Source organism: Homo sapiens, chromosome 3, assembly GCF_000001405.40.
Source record: "Homo sapiens chromosome 3, GRCh38.p14 Primary Assembly".
Taxonomy (NCBI): domain Eukaryota; kingdom Metazoa; phylum Chordata; class Mammalia; order Primates; family Hominidae; genus Homo; species Homo sapiens.
The window spans coordinates 60,351,825-60,377,413 of NC_000003.12; the positions used below are offsets into that span (position 1 = coordinate 60,351,825).

A 25,589-nucleotide genomic window follows, 5' to 3' on the forward strand; every position below is an offset into this window, starting at 1 on the left:
ATAGACCCATGCAGAAACCATGCCCTTCCTTCTCAGTCCTAGACCTGGCTAACCCCTGTGCCCTCTAAAGATTTAATTAGCTAGCTCTTACCCTGAAGAAGCCTTCTTTGATAAGTTTGTTCCTCCTTATAGCTTGCTAACATCCTGTGCAATCTCCATCATTTCACTTCTTGCCCTGTATCGTAATTAGCTCTTCCGGTGACTGTCTTATCCACTGGAGTAATTAATTGCTACTTAAGATAAGAAACCATGGCTCTCATTTTTGTATTTCCAGCACTGAGGAGCATGCCTTGCTCATAGAAGGCCCTCAATAAATACTAAGTGCAGAGAAAATAAGTGAGTTATTTTACTAGAGGCTGCATAAGAGCCAAGAGAAGCAACTTAATTATGAGGCAACAATAAGCTTGGATGATGCAGACAAAAATATGCTAGGAGATTTTAAGCACTCAGTCTGTCAGTGGTGAGCCTAAAACAGGTTCCTTTAAAGGTAAAAGATTCATACAAAACAATACGAAACTAAGAATTGTACAACTCAACACATGTTAAAATTGAAAGAAATATCACAGGTACTCACTATACCCAGATGTCAAATTCTTTCATATCTTGCTTCAAGCAGCATGTGTATATTAACTCATATTTAATACAAAAAGCTATGCTTTTTCTAAAAGCATTTCTTTTTTAAAATTTTTTTTTAAGAGATGGAGTCTTACTCTGTCATTCAGGCTAAAGTACAGTGGTGCAATGACAGCTTACCGCAGCCTTCAACTCCTAGGTTCATGTGATCCTCCGGCCTCAGGCTACTGAGTAGCTGAGATTGCAGTTGTCCACCACCACAGTCAGGTAATTTTTTAAAATTTTTATTCATACTTTTAGAGGAAGGGTCTTGCTATGTTGCCTAGGCTGATCTCAAACTCCTAGCTTCAAGTGATCCTCCCAACCTCAGCCTCACAGGTCACTGGGTTTACAGGCTCAATGCACCATACCTGACCTAAAAGCATTTCTTATCAGAGTCCTACTTACCCAGTTTTGTCAGGTGCCAGGAAATAGGGGAGCTCTTACCTAGGAGCTCCCTCTGGTCAGAGTGGCCTCGCATTCTCAGTGTGGGGGATTCAGTCCTACATTTATACCTCCCTTGGAGATCAATTCCTTAAAGCAAAACAGGTGGCTCACTGGATGGCATTCACTTTCAGTTGATCAATTGATTTGTTTGGAGATCAGTTCTTAACATTTATTTCAACAGTTTAACAAGATAAATTTGAAATCATTTTTCCTAAAAAAATTTCAAGGTGATCTTAATATTATTTTACCAACTTCAACTATGACCCCTTCTTCAGACTTAACCTAATTCCTTCTGAAAGCCAAAAATTCAGACCCATTTACCATGAAGCTGAATCCTCCACTGCTTCTCTAACTACCTCTTCCATCGGCCCTAAAACATTAAAAAAAGTGGGGTGCTGCTTCTCTTTTTCTGTAAGATGCCCAGGCCTGGTTGGTAAAAGTTTAACTGCTTAGGTGATTATTATGCACTATACAAAGTATACTACATATCAAGTGCTCTGCCCAGTAGAGGGTCTACTAAAAAGGCTTAAGAGTGAAAACTGCCAAAGGGAATTTCTTACCTTCCCTCAGGGCACACAGAACCTGAACCTCAGTACCAGGTGTTCCCTACATCTCCTTCTGCTGGTGAGTCTAAACCTGAATTACTCTTCTTTGTCTAATCAATTTAGACAACAAATTAAGCATGAATACTGCTTGGCATAGTAGCCTTAATCAAACAAAAAAGTGAGATTTTTTATTTTTTTAAACATCTATGCAAACATAGAGCTTTTGTTAGAAAAAGTTACAAATTAATAACATTAAATAAAGCCAACTCTTTAGAAATGATACAGAATAGCCAATTCCCAGAAGTATTTGAGTGGCTGAAAAACAAATCTGTAAAAAAGTCAATCTCAAGCAAAAATCAAGTTAAAATGAGACAGACACACTTTCAAAATTGCAGTAATTTTTAAAAATTTATAAGAAGTGTGTAAAGAAGTTGACATTCATACAGTCCTGTTCAGCTGATAGCTTTTTTAGAGAGAAATTTGGTAATATGACCCCAAAACCTTAACAAATTTTATATATTTATCCTATCTATTCTACTTCTTAGAACTCTAAGGAAACAAGAAGAGATGGCCAGAGACTTATGTAGTAGGATTTTTCTATCACGATGATGGGCTGGAGAATCCAAATGTCTCACGATAAAAAAGTGGCAATATAAAAAATGGTATGTGATACAATAGACTCCTATGCTATAATTAATTTTTATGACATATGACATGCTTGTAACATATTAAATGAAAAATGGCACCAAAATTGTTTAAAATACAATTATTTTATTTTTAAAGCATACATAAACTCATAGTAAAAAAGTATGCACATTAATAGTATTAGTCATTACCTGTGAAAGGCAGACTGATTAGTGACTTACTTTATTATTCCTATCCTTATTTTAAACTTTTCCAACCCATATATGTGGCCCATCAGATTTGTAAAAATGAAAATCCAAGGCATAGGATTTGAAGGCATACATTCCTATACCCTGCTAAAAACAGACTCAGTTTAGTATCTCCTTAGGTTCTGATATAAGATGATTCTCGAAAAAGCCCCAAGCCAACCCAGTCTGAAGAAACAGATACAGAGTAGTTATCAGAACAAGAATTCAATGCCAGTTAAGTCACCTTTCCCAAATTTAATTCTAATAATAAGTCCGTGTTAAAAAGCAAAGGTTCAAATATTTTAGTGTTATTGAGAGGATTAGCTCACTGCTGAGAGTGAATATAAAAAACAATTCTATATCAAAGCCAACTAATTCAATCTTATTTTTAAATGTCACCAAATATGGCTTCTCTCAAAGTACGCCGGTCCAATTGGTAATATCTGATGGCTGATTCTGCTTAACTCTACTAAATATAAACCATTATCTTAGGGAATCAGTAGTATACTTTATTCTTGTTATTCTTTAGTATTTTGTTAGGGATCATAAAATTGGACTTGACTTTGAGGACAGGACTGGCTAAGCCAGGGCAGTTAGTCCTATGGACCTTTTCACTCCGGGAGTCTGTGACTACTTATCCTTAAACATTTCCAGTAAATTTATGTTTTAGTTATCAATCAGTTATCTGTAAACTAGAACTTTAAAGAATCCTAAAACATAAATCTTTTTAATCCTCAATGATTTAGACTCTCTACATTTTTAAATAATTCAGTCAAACAAAAGAAGGGTAAATTAGTCATTTTGTGTGTCAGATAAAACACACATGCATACACAGAATAAATGTTTTTTGTTCTCAAAGGATTTTGTTGTAACCTCCACTCGTCATGTAACACTGGAACAAAATAGTTAGGCTAATTACCCAAAATTAAGTTCCACTTCTCGATTTACAAGCTTTCCATTTTATTCTAGCAATTCTTAGCTGTCATGGACTCAGAAAATTATTACTGCCATCAATTGGAAGATTGTTTTAGTGGTACAGATGGCTGTCCTTTTATAGGCCAACTTAATGACTTCTTCTTATCTAATCTGTCATCTGTTATTTAGTTGTCATTATGAACTTTTTGGGTTGCATATCAATCCATTTTCCATGTTTACTAAACAGATGGCTTTATTTGAGAAAAAAAAAAGCAAAGCAAGAAAATGACATTGCATGATTAAAAAATTTCAAAAGGCTGCATACAATTTTTAATGTTCCTAAATGAAATGAAAAATTGCTATTAAAAAAACTAAATTTGAAGTCAAAGTGAAATAGATTTTAAAACTCAATGGACATGCAAAGAAACAATCAGCAGCAGCTATCTACAAATAGAACAAATTACTTCCAAAACAGCAATAGGTTATTCTTCCAGTTTTTGTCACAAATTTTTTTTTAAATTTATCTTGACAAATAGATGACAAATGTCAACGAAGTAACTCTTCAATTCAGAAGCTCTTTATGTTGTAATTCACAGGTGTACCTCCTTTGTCTAGTATTTGTAACCTTATTTAGAGAGTAGGTAATGACATAAATACTTCCATTTAGTGAAAATTGTTCCTTATCTTTGTCTCCTTATGATGATTTTGTTTAATCACTGGGTCATTATCAAATCAACACCCAAACTCAAGAAGCGTAAGGGAAATTGTAAAGGGCTTGTATCAATGAGTTCAGAGATCCAAAAATAATAACTGGCACTGTGCCATGAAAGAACACTGTAGTTCACACTGTACCAGAGAAAGAACTTGACAATTATTAGAAACTAAAATACATAATCATGAAATAATTTTATGTTACATTTATGAGTGGTATTTAAAATTGTGTTTGTTCAGGAAGGATATTTACCAAGTCTTGGGATTTGCTGTATCAGCCTATAACAACGCTGCAAAAGTAACCGAGCAGAGCCTTCTGAAACAGTTTCCCATGCCATACTAAGCACATCCTCCATTGTAGAACAGATTGAGTTCAACTGTGGTTTTTTTACTTGCCCAAGTTCAAGGCTCCTGAGCACAACAAAACCAACAATGAGGAAGAGCATGATCGCATAATTTTTTATGTTCTTCAGACAATGTAGGAGAACTTAAAATGGACAGCCAATTTTTCAAAAAGGACAAATTATTTGAAGGATTTCTTTTCTTATATGATAACCACAGTAAAATGTAAGACTAGTGTAGGTAATTGTCCTGCCACTCCATTCTAAGCTGTGAGTGAAAGTACTCCATCAGCTTAATGAGAACACCGTGAAATATAAAACATCTATTTCAATACAAGTTATTGAGAAGCTTTAACAGGCTTTCGGGAGAAGCTACCAAAAGAAAACCGAATACCAGATACTTGATTTGAGACTGACAAAAATCTTCTATTCTTTCCTACGGAAAATTAAACAAAATGGGCTATTATATAGCAGGAAGACAGAGACAAAAAAAAAAAAAAAAAAAAAAAAAAACGGAAGAAAGAGTAAATTGTATGAATCAGAAACTTGGAATAATAATTCTACCTCAAATACTTCTCTTAGGTCTTCTGCTCACATCTTTCAGGCAGAGAACATCTATTTGATGCCAAATGTGTGGCTAGAACTGGGCCAGGTGCTTTACATGTCATAGATCAATACCAAACAACTAGTGAAATCAGCACAAATTCAACCAATGAAGCTCTTAAAACAATAAGGTGAAAAACCACATTGTTGAGGAGAGCCATACAATACAGTCAGGTTCTAGTTCAAATTACGTTTCTTTCCTTGAGATCTTCTGGTCCATGATATGTTTTGATCTGTCTAAAATATTATGTAGGCATTCTCAAGTGATTAAGAAACTCCGGATTGTTTCAAATAATCAGGTCTTCCCCAGGCAAACACTGGAGATCACTTGTTTTTTGTTTGTTTGTTTGTTTCTGAGATGGAGTTTTTCTGTGTCGCGCAGGCTGGTATGCAGTGGCATAATCTTGGCTCACTGCAACCTCTGCCTTCCAGGTTCAAGCTCAAGCGATTCTCCTGCCTCGGCCTCTTGAGTAGCTGGGATTACAGGCACCCATTCTTGAGTAGCTGGGATTACAGGCACCCATCACCACACCTGGCTAATTTTTTGTATTTTTAGTAGAGACAGGGTTTCGCTATGTTGGTCAGACTGGTCTCAAACTCCCAACTTCAGGTGATCCACCTGCCTCAGCCTCCCAAAGTGCTGGAATTACAGGCATGAGCCACCACGCCCGGCCCAATATCACTTTCAATGGGTCCCAACACATTAAATGATGATTTCTTGACAAAGTTTTACACACTACTTAAGGATCAATTGACATCAACCCTAACTCAAAGCCAGGAAGCTTAATCCAACATGAAAATATTCTGTGGATGTTGTACTTAGGCATATTATTCTCTGTAGTATATACTTTCATATTGATACACATATTTAACATATTGCAAAGCATATTTTAAAAGCATTGATCTATGTTCTACTGGTAATTTTCACAACGCTTAATCACATGGCCATCATAGTCTTTGCATAAGACTACCTTGTTGTTCAAGAATGGTTTTAGCATTCCATCCTTCTCCATCATACTGGCTCAGAGGTGAGAACTGACCTTCTCCCAGTAGATAAAAGACTCTCATAATTGTATTATGTACAGCAGCATCAGCATCACCTGGGAACATGTTAGAAGTTCGAACTATAGACCTCCAACCCAAACCTCTGGAATCAAAACTCAGGAGATAGGCCTTAGCAATTTGTGTTTTATTATATCCTCCAGCTGTCTGGAGAACCACATAAGTTTTGAGAAAGAAGGCAATGCACCTTATCATTCTTCAAGGCAAAGTTCACTTCACTTAGCTTGGTATTCTTCACTGCACCTAGCACCCTCAACATAACAAGCACTTAATACATATTTGTGACATAAAATAGATTAAAATATTCTAAAGACAGAACTCATTTTAGAGAACAATCCTTTCCAGCCACTATTTGGAGATTTTGATACTAGAGATGTATTTGGCTGAGAAGTTTCCTTTCCTTAACCTATTGCTAGGTTCTGTGAACTTGCCATGAATTGAAACCAAGGATGGACTACAGTCAGAATGAAGGAAGATGAGGAAGAAAAAAGCAAAGAAGAAAACAAAACCACTCTATTCCTTCTGAATTTGGCACAAAGATCTCAGGTGTTCCTTATATTCTTAAGACGTAAATCACAATGAATTATGATCATTGAGCAAATATTACTGTGAGCCTAGGTCAAAAAGCTAAGGTCATAGTGTTCTGACATAAACAAAATCAGCTTTATTTCAGAAAGAGCATAGTGAAAGGCTAATAAACATTGCTAAGTAAAGAAGGGGCTGATAACACAGATACAACATGGTAGGTCTATACTTTCTAGTGCTTATCCATTTCTCTGCCAGCCCCTGCATTTATGGCACATCAATCAAAAGTCTTGGTTTTGGAGCCAGGTGAACTGGGTTATAATCTGGCTCAGGTCTTCACTAGTTGTAGGTCTTTGGGGAAATTATTCTTCTCCTTTCTGACTGTCTTCATCTATAAAATGGAGTAATAATGGTAACTAACTCATAGAATTGATGGAAGATTTATATTAAATAATGTGTGTTGTAAATGCTCAATAAATGGTAGATTGTTTTTCTTTGTCTATAGGAGGTGTTGAGGGCTTGTAGTCTACTTGTTCAAGCAACAGGACATAAAACAAAAGCTCATTAAGTCAGATGTGGTATCCCATCAGCACTTGCCCAGCACTGAGAATACAGCAGGTATTCCAGAAGTGTGAGCCAAATCACATGCATTATACCACAGTACAAAGAAACCTTCCCCAAGAGTCATGGTTGAGAATTACACAGCAGAGATTTTCCACATCACAGAACAGAGTAGACTGGCTTGACTTCATGATATTTGGATACAAAACTGAGAAAATTAGATTTCCAAAATATATTATTACTTGAATATGAAAATATCTTTTTTTTTTTTTTTTTTTTTTGAGATGGAGCCTCGCTCTATCGCCAAGCTGGAGTACAGTGGTGTGATCTTGGCTCAATGCAACCTCCGCCTCCTGGGTTCAAGCGATTCTCCTGCCTCAGCCTCCCAAGTAGCTGAGATTACAGGTGTGTGCCACCATGTCCAGCTAATTTTTGTATTTTCAGTAGAGACAGGGTTTCACCATGTTGGCCAGGATGGTCTCAATCTCTTGACCTCGTGATCCACCCGCCTTGGCCGCCCAAAGTGCTGGGATTACAGGCGTGAGCCACTGTGCCCGGCCTGAATATCAAAATATCTTTTTCGAATTCTGTGACAGCCCATGACCCCTTCACCAGAGCAAGCCAAACACCACTTGTTTTCGCCAAAGAGACAGGAGCAAAAGGTTCTGGTATTTATCATCTGGGCTTTATCTTTTTCTGGATAGATTATGAAATTCCAGTGTATTCCAGACAGGTCCATTTTCATGGAACCAACCACTGTCTTCCCTAAAAGCATAACAGCATCACAGGCAAAGGTCCCAAGATAATAGAATTTTATATATCAGGCTGGCTTTCTAAGAGAAGTCAATAAAATCCAACAATGATGGGAAATGCAGGATGTAGCAGAGATCCTTAAAAGCAATTAGCAGAGAGCAGGGATGAAAAGCAATTATGCAAACACTAGAACACTAGGACATTCAAGACTTTTTTTTTTTTTTTCTTTTTTTTTTTTTCATTCTGTAAGGAAAGGACAGATCCCTGCTTTGGAAAAAGAATACAAATGTGCAGGTTTGAAAGTTCCCCATTAGGTGCATCTACCATTTCTATTATATTCAAATACTAAGCTTTTTAGGACTTATATTAAACTCCATAATCTTAATATTTATGACCACAACTTAACAATTAATCAAACTATTAAACACTAAAAGAGTCAAAGGCTGAGTATGGGTGGGGCAAGAAAATTTTTTTTTTTGAGATGGAGTCTCACTCTGAAACAATCTTGAAAAGCCTCCAGAAGGTACAAATTTGCTGGCACTATAAAAGACAAAGGCAACTTAAGGAGGTTCAAGGAAAAAGGAAAATAATGCTAAGAAAGAGAAAACATGAGAGAAGGCACTGGGGCCAATAATGCACAGAGTTCAGATACTAAATAGTGAAGTGATCCATTCAGCCTAGAAGAATGTTATGGTAGAATGGAAAAATGCAAGTCTTTGACTCTGAGAGCCCTGGGTTTTAATTCTGTCTTTCTGTGACCTTGGGTAAGGCATATAACTTCACTGAGATTCACTCTGAGCACCCACAAAATGAGGGCAACAATAGCTATCCTATGAAATAGGTAACTAATAAATAGCAGCAATATTTAATAGGCATGCAAATTCTTTTCTCTTCCCTTCACCAAGTCATAATAAACCTGTTCTTTAATTCAAAATCAATATGGCCAAAGCCAAATTCACAACATCTTCTCACAAGCTTCCCTTCTCAAACAGCCTGTCTTATCAATCGAGCCACCATGTCTCCACTGACCCAGGCTTGGAATGTCTGACTGATAGCTGCCTCAACTTCACCTTCAAAACAAATGTCTGCTCAAGTTATATCCCTCCAACACGATTCATTTTGACCTCTTTATCCCTGTTTTGTCAACCACAACCCAAATCTAAGTCTGAATTATTGAAAAAGCCTTCCGTCCGACCCATGTGATTCCTACTTTTCTCCCCACAAATTCATATACCTCCCACTGCTTAGCTTATCTATTTCGAATACTGGTGTAATACATCCTGGTGATGGCTCCCTGTTTCCTACTACTCAGTGATATATTCATCCGTTCATCCAATAAACAGTTACTGGATATCCACCAAATACCAAGTACTGGGCTATGTATTGGAGGTGCAAAAATGAGCAAGTCATGCCTTTGAAAGTCCAGTGGGGAGAAGTAAACAGATAGATTATAATACAATGCTATAAAGAAGAGATGAAACTAGAAATTCGCTTTATAGGTTGAACGAGACAAAATCTCAGATCAGAGATGGTGCTGTATTGGAACAGCATCTCAAGAGAGGAGAGGTGTTTGTCAGGCAAAAAAATGGAAAAGGGCACTATTCTTTTTCAAAGGCACGTACACAAAAAAATCCTGTGTTTTATAAGTAAAAGACACCCCCACCAACTGTAGAGGAGGTTGAATGGATTTCTTGCAGCAGTGAGTGTGTAAATGAGTGACTAGCTAGGATGCAAGACTCCCCTCCTTTGACCAAGCAAGTAAACAAAGGATGGATTCTTCATAGAAGATGCAATGGCAACAGGTGACAAGTTTCTTTGGGCAACTACTGAGTCAGTTATGTAGGTAAAGGGGTAGAGATTCAAGAATCAAACAAACAAAAGACAACAAAAGCAATACAATATTTCAGACACAGAACCCCACTGGCCAGAGAGAGAGACAGATTTTACCCCTCAATGACAGTGAACACAGAACTTAGACCATTTGAAATAAAAGTTCTTACCATATCTCTCCTGACTCGTACAAACACCAAAGGGCAATAGTAAAGGAGGATAAATCTTTTTGAGGGAAGTGAGCTGTACTATCTCATATCTCACGGGAATCCATTCATGAGAAAGTCAAATCCAGAAGTCTGTTCCACTTCAGCTCTCATTTACAAAAAAAGTTTTCTCCTTCCTTTCTTAAATCAAGTGACACAAGTCAACTCAAGATGTGCAGCATCACATCGTCACTCAACCAAACTGTGCACACATCTTCTGCCATGGGTGTCACCAATCTTAAATCTCAGTGTTTAATACTGAGATTTAAAAAAAAATAATTTTATTGTGTGCATTTGAAGTTTATAGCATGATGTTATAGAATATATATAGATAGTGAAATGGTTACTAAGTGAACCAAATTAACATATCATCTCACATGGTTATTTCTTGTGTATGACAAGAGCAGCTAAAGTCTACTTCCTTAAAAAAATCCCTAATACAATACAATTTTATTAACTCCAGTCCTCACATTATACATTTTAGATCTTTAAACTTAGTAATCCTATATATCTGCTGGTTGATATTGAGATACAATACTTAGAAGCTAAAAGCTTATCAAACATGAAGGCTTTTCTGTTCGGATTTTTTTTTGGAGAGGGTTAACAAAATGTGTTGTTTTAATTTCATTTTCAGAACAAATTAATTTATCTCACCACACTTTTTGTTTCTAGCAAGCATGACACCACTAGGTATGAGCTGTGTGCTTATTGTGGATAAGGACAGTGTGTTAGTTACCTCTTTATCCCATCACAGTGTCTGCCACTTAAGCATTCAGCAAATTAAATCATCAACATGAGAAACATGAGATACATTTTTATCATGTACATGAGATACATGTCCTGTATTTTTATCACCTACGTGAACAGAGCTGAACACCTCACCTATTCAATAGTAACTCCAATTTTATTAACTTTCCCTTGACTCATTTTCTTCATCAATAAAACGTGGATCAGATTGCCTTCCTTATAGAGTTATAGTGAGGGATAAACAGGGTACAGTATACAAAAAGTCAAATGAGTCTTCAATAAACGGCAGACAAATCCCAAACAAAAAGAGGGGCAAAAAGGCCCGTGTCAGAGAAATCAGAAGTTAAATCACCATAACAATGACCATAAGCAGCAGAGAACTTCAGAAGGTATCCCCAGCCTTTTGGAAATGTCCTTTAATTTCTTCATGTTGGGTAAATCTAGCAATTGAAAAGGAAAGACGCTGTTAAGTTCAAATGTGGATGTTCATTATAGGAGCTGAATGAGAGACAGGTAAAAGTTTCCAGGGAAGAAAAAGGCAGTATGCAACAAAGAGTTGGGTATCAAAAAATAAAAATAAAAAGAGGTGCAGAAAACAAGCTCCTTTTCTTCTCTAAATTCGTGGTGCTCCTATCCAGGTCGGCAACCCCACATCAGTCCTTACCATTGCTCTACCCAGTTTGTGTCCCCACTGAATCACTCCCCAGCTCCAAGTGACGTGTGTGTGTGCCTATGAAGTTTTAAGGAAAAATTACCTATAATTTTGCTTGATCTTTGTGAATCTCTGTAGCAACACGGAAAACTGCTTAACTTTTCAAAACAAATCTAATCACCTTATCATTCTTTTATTTCAAGTAATGGCTACAATGTATTGAGCACATAACTAAGCACTGTATGCCAGACACTGTATTAATTGCTTTATATGGATCTCATTTATTCCCACAACTCTGACTTGTATACTGCCGCTATCCCTGTTTTACAGGTGAGTAAACCTGGAGATGTGGAGTGGTTACATCATTTTTCCAAGGTTATACAGCTAGAAAATAAGTGGTAGCTAGAACTTGAGCCCACTGAATTTTAATGGTGTCACTGTAAAGCCTCTGCGCTGTGTATCTCCTGTCCCCATCACTCCCCACTCTGCTCCACTGTGCTCTGTACCCCAGGAGTCTGGCCTCCGTGAACTCCAACAAGCTTCCCTGGCCCCCCTGGCCCCCCTGGCTTCAGTGAGTTTGTGTGATAGACTCCAGGCAGGAGATGAGAAGGAGGGAAGAACAGTTCAGGATATTTATTCCTCTTGGTCCTTCCTGGAAGGTCACCTCAGTCTAGCTTCCTCAAAGGACGGTCACCATCCTCTAAAGGCAGGCTCTTCTCCACACTTCTGTCCTTTGAGGTTCCCACAACTGCTACCTCCCCTTGTCCCTAGGTCAAGGGGTGGTCACAGCTCTGCCGTTACTCATCCCAGTAACTCATGCAGTCACTATAACATCATCTGTGGTTTCCCTGCACCCAGCCCACAACTTTGTAAACAGTCCCATTGTAAATATACTCTTTAATATATGCTGATTTGAATGTACCATCTGGTCCCTCTTGGAACTCTGATACAGCCTTTCTAATAATGCCTTTGGTCTAGGAATAACAAAATAATTGTTCTCCAGTCATTCCATGCTTTTCTACACCTCTGTGTGTGTGTACTCCATGCTGCTTTCAAGTGAAATGCTCTTCACCACTTTTTCTGCTGGAAAATTCTAACTCCTCCTTTATAACTTATGAAGGCAGTTATTTTATTCAAACCTCCTTTGACCCCCTCCTTGCCATGGGCAAAATAATGGGCTTTTTCTATCATACTCTGTAAGCACCTACAACTTAGACAATACATTATACTGTATACATGTGAGACTGGCAAAATCTCAGCATGCACCACTGTACCTGGTATGCAGTAGGTAAAACAAATGATCACTGAAGGCTTGAATGAATATATTGCTGTTACATATATTCTTTATTCTGTTCTACCCAGGAAATTAATGTCACAGGCATTCCATTGAGCAACACAGAAGGCTATATGTGTACATGCTGGTTCATTCTATGTGCCAATTTGACTGAGCTAAGAGATGCCCAGATAACTGATAAACATTATTTCTGTGTGTATCAGTGAGGGTGTTTCCAGAAGAGAATAGCATTTGAATTGGTGAACTGAGTACAACAGATATCCTTTCCTAATATGGATGGGCATCATTTAATCAACTGAAGGGCTGAAAGAACAAAAAGGTAGAGGAAGGGAAAATTCACTCTCTCTGCTTGAGCTGAAACATTCACCTTCTCCTGCTTTTGGACACTGGCACTCCTGGTTCTTGGACCTTGGGCCTAATTAGATTAAATCATACCATAGGCTTTCTTGGTTATCCAGCTTTCAGAGAATAGATCATGAGACTTCTCGGCCTCCTTAAGTACATGAAACAATTTCATATATATGTTTGTATGTATGTATCTATCTGAATATATATATATATATTCTATTGGTTCTGTTCTCTCTCATATATTATTACATATAAACAGAACATTATATATATAATACTAAGACCTATATATACAGTATATATTATATATGTATTTAATACTATATTATATATAATACTAAGACCACTAAAATTGGGATCTTTCTGGAAAATCAAAATTCAACATAAATTTATTATTTCTTTGTAAAAATGCATATGGAGGAGAGGGAAGGCAAGTTAACCAGATATACTTTGAATGTAAGGTTACATGTTCCCTTTAATCACTTGATTTACTGAAAAAATACATGCTTAAACCTTTGAAAAAGGAAAGTTGTTTTTCAGTAGTTCATTATATACTCACTGAGTTTTAAATTCTATCACAATTCACGTTTTAAAATAGATCTTAACACCACACATATTTACATTAAAATAGTAACTGAGTCATACTTACCTAAATAGCCTAATGACTCATTAAAACAACTTTCTTTTCTGTTAAGTCATATTTCTTCCTTCATAATTCAGTTCTCATAACTCATTAGTTATTTCCAAAGAAGGATGTATCACAGTCATAGACCACTTCTGTTCTTAGAACTTAGGAAGCCATCTCTTTCAGATCAAAATATCTAAAATTTCTATGAAAATTTTCAATGATTTAACATCAGTGTTACGTCTTAAGATTTATTATTAAGACATGGTTTCTCAGAAAGTCAACTCCTGGTCTAGTGTTTTTAAATGATTTGACTCTGAATGTTCAGTAACTTTAGTTAGCTCTCAATTGATTTCATTATGGAACATTTTTCTTCCTCTCATGAAAATACGTAACAACAAAATATACCTGATTAACAAACAGCTTGATCCATGCAGCATGTAACATTCATAGATGCTAATGCCTCTTTGAAGCATACTTAGTATTTAGAAATCATTTTGCCTTCATTGAATGACCAAACAACTGGTGTTCAAAATAAAATATATGCCTGACTATAATAATATGGCAAGTACATATTTGTCAGTAATGGGTATTGCTTTGCATGATTTATTTTTGTTTTCAGAAAATGAGTCCTCGAGAAATCCTACAAATCACTTTCTTGCATAGAACTGAATTTTGGTAAAAGGAAAAAGGCGCTATGTTCAGTCCCTCCGCCTTTTTGAGATGGAGTCTCACTCTGTCACCCAGGCTGGAGTGCAGTGGTGCAATCTCAGCTCAATGCAACCTCTGCCTCCTGGGTTCAAGCGATTCTCCTGCCTCAGCCTCATGAGTAGTAGAGATAGGGTTTCACCATGTTGGCCAGGCTGCTCTCAAACTCCTGACCTCAAGGGATCCGCCTGCCTTGGCCTCCCAAAGTGCTGGGATTATAGGCATGAGGCACAGTGCCCAGCCTGCTAACCCCTTTTCACATGCCATCTCATTTGACCCTTGCTATGTTTTGAATATCCCCTCCAAAATTCATACTGAAATTTAATTACAGGAGGTGGGACCTCTAACAGTGATTAGGTTATGGTGCTCTACCCTCATGAATGGATTAATGCTGTTACCACTTATCATGGGAGTATGTTAGTGATGTTGGGAATGGCTATGTTATAAAAGCAAGCTTTCTCTCACATTCTCTTGCCCTTCTGCCGTCCGCTCCCCTGCCATGAGATTAACCTCACCAGATGCTGACATCATGGTCTTGGACTTTGCAGCTTCCAGAATCATGAGCTGTATAAATCTCTTTTCTTTATAAATTACCCAGACTGTGGTATTGTTTTACAACAGCAGAAAATGGACTAAGACAATCCTATAGACAGCAACCCTACCAAAGTCAGAAAGGCTAAGGGACTAGCTGAGGCTCTGATTCCTAATCCCATGTCCTTCCCATTAAATCATTTTGTCAACTTATATAGGTTGAGGCTATACCTATGCTAAGTGAAAATATCCATCTGATAGATTCAACTTGAGATTCTACTTTGCCCCATTATATTTGTTCTCTGAGGAGAGTGAAGAAGAAGAAAAGGAGAGGTTTTTGTGTTAGGCCATTATCAATGAGACTCATCAATACTCAACTAATCTATAAAATGAGCTCAACCTTCCCCTAAGAATACTAAATACTCATAGATAATGGGCTGGCCCTTTGATTTTAATTCTCAGAGGATCAGTGTTTTTAATGTTTTATCATTAGTTCCTTTCAATTAAGTCAGGTAATAATGCTGCCTGGACATTCAAACCCAAATGAATGGCTTCAATTATCCCAGGGTCTATTTCTCAATCAGGAGCCAAGGCCCTGGGACCAAATAGCTAACACTCCTCAAAGTACCTCTAGATTATTTTCTGAAAAGAATTCAAAGATTATTACATTTTAGTGAATTTTCTAGAGAATGCACTGTTTTTATTAAACGGGAGTTTTTGCTAATTTTGCTCCTTTCTAAAGATGTTGGAAAGTCTAAGAAAACTCTTACTCAAAAACGAGGAAGTGGGAAAATCTCAAACTAAACCCTCTCAGATTATGTTCTTACTCAAAATACATTTGATGTATTTGAAACACTTGATGCCTTTATGAACAAATTTGCCTTGATTTATTATGCAAAGTCATAATTAGCTATTTTAATTCATTAACTGCTTGTTTTTAAAAAATATCCAATTTTTAAAAACAACAAAGCAAAAGTTACATGGTATGACCTATAGAGGTTTTACAGTGGATGAATTTTAACAAATGTATACACACATACAAAGCTCTAATCAAGTTATCGAATATTTCTACCACTCTAGGAAGTTCTCCAGTGCTCACCTGCAGTCAAGCTCCACCACTTTCATGGAAACTGCTGTTCTGATTTCTATCACCAAAAATAAGTTCTGCCTGTTCTTTAAATCAATATAAAGTATGTACACTTTGGTGTTGAACTTCTTTCAACTATTTAGAGAAGTCCACCATGCACTTACAGGTATTAGAAATTTTTCTTCTTATAGGTGAAGTATCTTTTATTCCATGAAATGAAAATCCAACATTTTATCTATGCTTTTGATGGACTATCGGATTATTTCCAGTTTAGAATCTTTACAAGTAAAGTGACTATGAACATTTGTGTAGCAAAACTTCTGTGGATACATACTTTCCTTTTGTAGGGGTAAATACCAGGAAATGGAACTGTAAAATCATAAAACATATCTTTTTAAAAAAAAAAAAAAAAAGAAACTGAGGAACTGTTTTCCAAAGTGATTGTACCATTTCATACTCCCACTAGCTATGTTTATGCATTTCTGTTATTCCATCATCTTATTCACTGGATGTTTTAATTTTAGCTCTTCAAGTGGATCTACAGTGGTATCTCATTCCTGTTTTGAATGTGCACTTTCATGATAAATAATGATATTGAACACCTTTTAATGGACTTATTGGCATTTGAAAAAACATATATATAAATATATTTATTTCTTTGGGCACTCTGTTGAAATATTTCACCTTTTATGTTGCCTTAAATTGGGTTATTATGAAGCATTTTAGAAATATATATACATATATACACACACATATGTTCTGCATACATGTCTTTTGTCAGATATATATATTTCAAGTATTTTCCTCCAGTCTGTAGCTTGCCTTTTTATTTTCTCAACTGGGTCTTTTGATAATCAGAAGGTTTTTATTTTAATGAAGTTCAATTTATTAACTTATTTTTTCTTTTATAGCTAGTGCTTTTTGTGTGCTCTTTAAGAAATCTCTGCCTGAGACTGTAAGATATTTTTTCTCTAATTTGTTATAGAACTTCTACAGTTTTTGCATTTATATTTAAGTGTGTAATACATCTCAAAATAGTTCTTTTTCTTAGTCTTTTTTTTCCTGTTTAGATAATTTCTATTGATATGGCTCAAAGTTCACTGACCTTTTAGCATGCAGAGACTAGTTGGCTGTTAACTCCATTCAGTATATTTCAATCATGGCACTTTTCTTTTCTCTTTGTTTTTTTTTCCTGAGACCGCTCACTCTGTCACCCAGGCTGGAGGGCAGTGGCATGTTCAGAACTCACTGCAGTGTCAGCCTCCCAGGCTCAAGCAATCCTCCCACCTCAGCCTCCTGAGTAGCTCAAATCACAGGTGTGCACCAACACGCCTTGCTAATTTTTTTATTTTTTGTAGAGGGGGTCTCTCACCATGTTGCCCAGGCTGGTCTTGAATTCTAGGATCAAACAATCCTCCCACCTCAGCCTCACACAGTGCTGGAATTAGAGGCATGAGCCACCACACCCAGCCATGGCACTTTTTGATCCTAGAATTTCTATTTGATTTTTATAGCAGTTTTTAGGTAAGATTCTTCATCTGTTCTTGAACAGCATCCATGTTTTCCTTTAAGTTCTTTAACAATATTATTATAGCTATGGTAACTCTAATATCTTGGTCATCTTCCATCTGTTTCCAGTGACTGCTTGTTTTCTTCATTAGTTGTCTTCTTCACTTGTATAATAATTATGAATGATATATCCCAAGGTGTCTGGATTATCTTTTCTTCCCTTAACATATTGAGTATTTTTGTGGCAGTTAAATTATTGGCAGATTCTCTTGATCCTTTCACGCTTGCTTTTATACTCTGTTAGAGTGGGCCTATTTGGTTTTATTCTTCATTTTAGATTGTGATTCTCCTAAGGTAGGTCTCCTTCTATAGCCCCAACTGAGCTTCTAGGCTGTTAAGCAAGACCTTCTACACTGGCTGCGACAGGACTCCAATATCTCTCAGCATTGTGTGACCTTCAGTGCCTCTGTTAAGCATTCAGTTCTGCAGAAGGCACCCTCTACTGTGTCTTACAGAGTCCCACTCTGTGAATATACAGCCTAGCCACTGGCCAATGGCACACAAGGAACCCTCATTAAACCAATACAAAGACAAGTTCAACAGTATTTTACAGAAAATCTTTTAAGCCAAAGAGAAAAACAGTCATGATTAACTATGTTGGCAATAATTTTAAGGTACATAAAAAAAGATATTTGTAACATATCTGTATTATCCTAATAGACAAAAGTATCCGCTATAGGAGTACATGATTCGCTGCCTATGTCCGAGAGCTTTGAATCTCAATTCCTCACACCTGGTGCCATTTTACTCATAATATGTAAAAGGAAGAGCTGCTAGAAAAACTTACGTCACCTGTGTTAAGTTTATAGATATACACTTGAATTAACAATATTTTTGGCCAAGATTCATAAATACACTTTATGTTTTATGAAGCCCAATTCAGTTAGAACTTGAGGTCAAGCAAAGAAATCAAGTGTAAGAGCTGACATAAAAACAGGTTTCCTTTTCAATACACTTTCAGCTATCTTAGAAATTAACTGTTCGGAGTGTTTTTCTATTCATACTCCAGAACCTCTCGCCCAATAAAATTATCTCCTCCCAGGGCTTTCACTAGTGTCAATTCACTAAAGATGCCCGTGTCAACATTTCAAGGTCGCGCCTCCTCAAGAGTTTAAATATTCATCTAGATATCCACCTTGAATTCAAAAACCCCACAACAGAATTCCTTCTCTTGTTCCCGCAAAAATCTGTACCTCTTCCTGAATCTGCATTCTGGCTGCACTATGTACCTAGTCACCGAGAGGTGGACTTATACCCCTCTTCTCTTTCACCCTTTCATCTGTCTGATGCATCACTAAGCCCCAAGAGCTTCCTCCTTTAATTATATCTGAAGTTTGTCCCTCTGTTTCCATCTCTGCTCTAATGCAATTTTTTAAAAATCACTCACTCTATTCCCACAGCCTTCAAACTGGTCTCTTCCCTCCTATCCATTCACAACACAGCTTCTAAGTGCTCTTCTTAAAATACTCATTTGATAACATAGTTTCCTGTTTTAAAATGTACTAAGTATTCCCACACATCTCTAGAAAAAAGTTCACATTGCTTTTGTGCCTCTCACTGCCTTTTAATTCGCTTCTCTAATAATTTACATCCTAGTTGCCCAGCTACACCAAACCAGTTGAAATTGCTTGGACGTGTCATATGGTTTCAGAACCTAAGCCGTTTGCACAAGGCAAACCATCCACATGCTCATCCTTGGGTCTCAGATCAAACATGAACACCTGAGACAGAAGACTCTGGTTTTTCTGACCGCTGTGTTGTTCCAATCTGTTTATTTTACTGGACTCTATTTGAAATGATCCATTTGTCCTCTATTAGACTGTAAATTCCCTATGTGGAGGGAGCATAACAAATATATCTTTATTCTCCTGTGTCTAGCACAATGCTTCACCATATTTGCAATAAATCAGTGTAAATGTAATTGGGATATCCACCACCTTAAATATTCATCTTTTTTATGCTACAACCATTTTAATTATTAAATATTTTCTTCTAGCTTTTTTTTTTAAGAGATGGGGTCTGGGCTGGAGTGCAGTGGCTATTCACAGGCGACATCATAACTCACGGCAAACTTGAACTCCTGGGTTCAAGTGATCCTCCTGCCTCTGCCTCCCAAGTAGCTGAGAATACAAGCTCATGCCACTGAACCTGGCTCTCAAGTAGTCGGTTTTTAACTAAAAATATTTACAGGTTACTACAAGGCTCTTCTTTTTATTTTTCAATCTTACTGGAATGAAAAGCAATAACTTCTAACATTAGAGTTATCATTCTGCTCTATGATGTAACTTAGAAAATATAATAAAACTGCAAATCTATTTCCAAAGCACATTTAAAAAATACCCCCAGATAGCTGAGCATTCATAAATTGATTTTATGGTCATTTGCAAAGGTAGCAGGACATTGGGGAAGTAAAGAGAGAGAGCAATGATTGATTATTTGAGAAGTTAACCTCATTTTAGCAGATTTTTGTGGGGTTTTTTTTTTTTTTTTAGCTCAAAATGTTTATCTAACAGATAAATCAAATGGAGCTTTCTGTACATACCTCATTACAATTCTAATTTATTTTCCCAACAGAATCTTCACAATTATGTAAAAATTGGCACGGTCCTGCTAGTGACACTTCCTATTCTTTCATACCATAAAGCCTGAGCTTATAAACAAGCTGCAGAGAGAGGCATTTTCATTACATACATCACTGCATTGTGGCGGTATCTCCAGAATGGCTTAAATGCATCATGTACTTTTACCCAAATGGTCTCTGAACAAGAGTGTTGGAAGAGATGTCAGTTCTTGGGCCCTGACAATGTTGTTTCCTAGCCTAAAAAGTCTGAGAAATGTGGAATATTCCTACCTCCTTCTGTGAGAAGTCAGAAAATGAAGAGACGTATTCATCTTTAAGCCAACCTTCCAAATTTACCTGAGCATAGAGCACCACCCCTTCACCACCACCCTCTTTTCTTTCCTTTGGAAATTCTTATTAACATTCTATAGGACATCATTGGAAGGTTAATCTGATTGTGGCACATCCATAATTTGGCTATTTAGAACATTATGTTTAAAAACAGAGTTAATGTCATGAGTCTGTCTGCTTATCTCTATCTCATTGTATTTTCCGCTTATCTTCCTGGTTTCTTTTTCTTCCTGAATCTCCAACACATGCCCACACTTGGATTTTAAATTATTGGTCCAAGACAAAAAGAGTCATGAGTACAAGTTCGGGCCGATCTACTTCAATGAACAAACAATCGAAAGCTCTTTACTTCCTGATGGCAAAAATATATAAAATTAGTGACATCTACTTCAGTATGCATTAACCTCTTTTTAAAAAGCTGCCTCCTTTATCTTCCATTCTCAATTTGCTTTAGGATGTCTTTTATTTCTTCCTTATCTATGGCTCCTACTTTCTCACAGACTTTTTTTTTAAAATGTATTTGGAGGCTGATATGATCAGTGTACTTCCTCTGAAATTAAAGTTTCTTTTGATATTGAGTTCAGTATATTCAGAGTGGAAATCAAATGACTTAGGCTGGTTACAAAGATTTAAGTTAATAGAGATGAATTTAATCCACTGGTGGTGTGTTCATAATCAAATGAAGGACTCATTTCTGTTCTAGAGCCTACCAAATAAAAATGTCAAAATAATTGGATTAAAATCATATGAAATTTATTTATTTATTCAACAAATATTAAATGTTTTTATGTGCCAGACAATATTGGGTGATGGACATACTGATGTTAACACTGAGACCCTACCTTGCCTTCAACAGCCTCTAGTTTAGCAGAGAAGGCACACATTAATTCTGTATTTGTGTGTGCCATGATCTGATTGTAATTGTGATAAATGTCATGGGAGAGATGATAGGGCTGATACAGCCCAGTCCTTGGGTGGGGAGGCTGGGTAAGGATAGGGTCAGAGAAGGATGACCTGAGAAAGTGACGTTGAAGCTAAGATATAAAGAATTTGAAAATGGCTTGGTAAAGTTCTAGATAAATGAAACAGCATCAAATGCGAAGGTTGCCACATTTGAGATGAGAGCAGGTCAGTGTGGTTGCAGTACAGAGAGCAAGGCACGATAGTGTGAGACTAGGCAGAGAATAAGCAGAGCCACCATCATAGGAGCTCAGAGGCCATCTTAGGACATCAGAACTTTCTGTTAAAAACAATGGGAAGCCAAGAAAGGTTTTTAAAGCAGGAAATGGACATGATCAGGTTGAGTGTATAAGCCGTCTCCCTAGCTCAGTGGAGAAAGCAGACTCATCTTGGTGGTAGTAGGGAGACCAGCAATTGTCCCCAAAATGTCCAGTCACTACTGGCAAAAGCACCCCTAAAAAACATACAATTGAGGAATGCAAGGTGCAACTTCATTAGAAGCCCCTCGGCTTACAACGTCTATCTAACCAGAATGCCATTCTTAAATCGCTCCTATTCCTATTTCAAACTTCTGGTTCAAACAGCTCTAGTAGCCATGGAAGAAAAGATTAAAGGCAGAAAGACTGGTAGCAGAAAAGCCAATAAGGAGGTTTTAGCCTAGGCACTTGGTTCTGGTGGTTCAGGAAGTAGAGAAAAGTCAATTAAAACAAGCTACACAGAAGGCGGAATCTCTAGTATGTGGTGAATCTGGTTATTGCAATTACTACATGTATCTTTTTAAAAAAGTAATGGTTTTGGTTCCTCTTGAAATTTACATGACACTGGAATATCCTCATTTCTCTGAATTATTTTTCTTACATATAACACATATATGACATTTGACCTTGTCAGATGCTTAAAACAGAAGAATTAAGCCAAGAAATATTTCTATCAATCTCAAGTCTTTTAGGAACCTAACTAAAGGAGAATTAATAGTTTAATTATAAACAATTCTTTCCTGATCATTTTAAAAGACCCACTGAGAATGTGTGCCAGGCAAAATAGTCTAGTTTTAGTTACTTTTTGCAACCTAAAGTAAGAAGTCTCTATTTTTTTAAACAATATTTGATGACTTAGGGTGATCCAGAATTAATTTCCTCCGCTGCTAATGCAATTCTGTAAGTTTTTACTCAATTCTACTCTGCATCATTAAACAGGACTAAAAGCTTTACATTTAGGGAAGCATATCACTTGGAAAAAAAACACGTTAATGTGAATTATAACAACAAACTTTGGAGACTAAAGGCATGACTAGTAGGATCTTCCACCCCAGATTTTTTATATGCTAAGAAAATGAAGAAAGAAGCACACACACATACTAGATTACCTACAACACGGCCTCTTAGGCAAAGCATTGACATTTATGTAGAAGGACTTCAAGCGTGGAGCTAGAGAATATGCATATTCAAGTAATAATTTGATTTTAAAACCTGTGCAGCCCGAAGTCAAGATCAAATTGCATACTCAATTTTTCCACCAACATTTAGAATATTTTCTCAACGTTGAGACGTGATAATAGTTGTGTGGCTGTGTGTTTTTTAAAAAGTCTATTAAGTAGAAGAGACTGCTAATCACTGAACCAGCCCTTGCAGTTTTCTTTGCTGCTCTACAGTCAGTTAACAGGATATTACAAAATAAATTAAGAATAAGAAACAGGCCAAGTTAATGCACATGATAAAGAGTTGAGTCAGGGAAGGTTTCTGCAATATTTGGAGCCTGAAAGGAGAGACTCTAAGGGTAGCAGTGGTGTATGATAATGAGAAGAGGGAGAGAAAAATGGTAAAATACTTTATGCTCTTCAAGAATCATTCCTTTTGCTCCTTTTGAAAAAAAAAAAACAAAAACAAAAAACAAAAAAAACACTTTCACGGTAGCAATTTTTAAATGCTTTTCAATAATTGTGAGTGCCAGATTCATGATTCTGTATAGGAACATCTTAATGTAACATCCTTAAGTAGAAACCCAGTAGAACTTGGTTTTGTATCATTACATCAATATTGAAAGTATAGCCTGGGTGTGGTGGCTCACACCTGTAATCCTAGCACTTTGGAAGGCTGAGGTGGGAGGATCACCTGAGTTCAGGAGTTCGAGACTACCCTGGGCAACAAGGAAAAACCCCATCTCTACTTTAAAAAAAAAAAAAAAAATTAGCCAGATGTGGTGGTGTACACCAGTAACCCCAGCTATTCAGGAGGCTGAGGCACAAGAATCTCTTGAACCCAAGAGGCAGAGGTTGCAGTGAGCAGAGATCACGCCACTGCACTCCAGCCTGGGTGACACGGTGAGTGAGACTCTGTCTCAAAAAATATATATTGAAAGTATAAATACTACTATACCATTTTAAAGTACACATACATAGAGGAGTAGCAATACCATTCTGTGAAGACAACTGGTTAGTTGTAGTTACTTTCATATTCTGGAGCTGTCTTCTGCCTGGACTATTCTCCCCTCAATCACAAATTTTCACTGGGTCAGTGCCTGCTCAGATATCATATCTAGGCTTAATCAACTGTTCTGTAGAAAGACCTTCCCAGATCCTATAGATGCAATGCTGTCAAACAGAGCTCTCTACAACGATAAAAATGTTCCAGATGTGTGTTGCCCAATATGGTAGTCATGAGCCACATGTGACCACTGAGCACCTGAAATATGGTAGTGTGCCTGAGGAAGTGAACATTTAATTTTATTCCTTTTTAATTAATTCAAATTTAAATTAAATTTAAATAGCTACACGTGGTTAGTGGTTTCCATGCAGAAGCAGAAGAAGACAGCTCCTGTTCTTCTATTTCATTCATATTCTGTGTGTCCCCTTGTAGGACTTGGCATATTTGCAGTTACATAGTGTTTAAAATTATTTGTTTAATGTCCATCTTTCCCACTAAATTATTGAGATTTTAAGTAGAGTAACTAGGTCTGTCTTGATCCCACAAAAGCCCATGCTTGACACCACAAGCCCCCATGCTTGACACATAGTGTCTATTCAAAGAGCTGCTGACTTACCATTTAAATAAAGCTTTTAATTATCTTAAACATATAATATCAGATATTAATAAGTTGGTTAAGTGAATACCAAAGGTTCATGTTAGAAGACTGGAATACTGTTTACAAGGTGTGAACTTTCTGGAAAAGTCCAGAAAATGCCACCAGAAATTATAAAAATCAGTGGTAAAATGTGGTTGCCACAGATTTTTCATAAACACAAACATACATACACACACACATTCTCAAAACACAGCTGCCTTCAGCAAAAGAGTCTTCTATTTTGCTCTAAAATCTGTTGTGGTTGTGAAAATGATGACACTTCTCTGCAAAAGAAAAATTTCAATGCAAAACAAACTCACAATTTAGCTCAGGATGTATGAAAAAGTTGACACAAAGAAGCTGTCCTTTCCTGGTTTAAATGACACATTTTATCTTTAGATTTTGGTAGCTAATTTTTAAAAAAATCCTTTAAAACGTATTACCTTTTCCAGGGACAAATGCTCTATAATGTTATTCTCTGCCATCTTTGAAAATGAAATAAACATTTATTAAAATAATACCATACACGACATAGATATTTTTAATACCCCCATTGGAAATGGTGGCATAGAGAAGTGGACAGTGTGTATAAAGCTACGAATTCCAGAGAACACTGGTTATAATTCAGTGGGAAATACAGTTAGTTTGTCATTGTTTGGCTGATTTGTTCATCCATCCATTTATCTCTCTCTCCATATGTAATGTTTATCCTTTCTTACTTTACTAAAATAATATCTTTCATCATGAAACTCACAGTATGCTAGGAAAGTTGAAAAAATACACAGGTGACTGAAATATAAGCCCCTAAAGAAAGCTGTGTTCAGGAGAGGCATAGAGTTCATCCTTGGAGGAGCCATTTATATGAAAACAGTTCTGTTTACATGCAACAGAGAAAGCCATTAAGCTTTTTTTTTTTTTTTTAATGGAGTTTTGCTCTGTCCCAGGCCGGAGTGCAGTGGTGCGATCTCGGCGATGCCTCAGCCTCCTGAATAGCTGGGACTACAGGCACGCACCAACACGCCCAGCTAATTTTTGTTTTAGTAGAGACGGGGTTTCACCATATTGGCCAGGATGGTCTCAATCTCTTGACCTTGTGATCCTCCCGCCTCAGCCT

The 25,589-nt window shown here is 36.9% G+C and overlaps 1 protein-coding gene and 1 long non-coding RNA gene across 8 annotated transcripts in view, besides 1 other annotated feature; both read right to left on the reverse strand.

Moving 5' to 3' along the window:
* LOC107986015 (uncharacterized) overlaps nucleotides 1–4,928 on the reverse strand; it is a 100,472-nt gene extending 95,544 nt beyond the window's left edge. For both annotated transcript variants that reach the window (XR_007095935.1, XR_001740433.3), the window contains exon 1: nucleotides 1–4,928. This exon is cut by the window's left edge and continues 23,083 nt beyond it. This is a non-coding gene — a long non-coding RNA (uncharacterized LOC107986015).
* The window catches only part of FHIT (fragile histidine triad diadenosine triphosphatase), a 1,504,176-nt gene that overhangs the window by 604,548 nt on the left and 874,039 nt on the right, over nucleotides 1–25,589 (reverse strand). The window lies entirely within an intron of this gene.
* Nucleotides 11,835–12,032: a silencer, noted in NCBI's record as "fragment chr3:60349391-60349588 (GRCh37/hg19 assembly coordinates)". NCBI's record gives its function as "represses an EF-1alpha promoter that drives an FKBP-Casp9 reporter gene in an ReSE screen in phorbol 12-myristate 13-acetate-treated (for megakaryocytic differentiation) K562 erythroleukemia cells {active_cell/tissue: K562(+PMA)}" and the evidence as "EXISTENCE:reporter gene assay evidence [ECO:0000049][PMID:32094911]".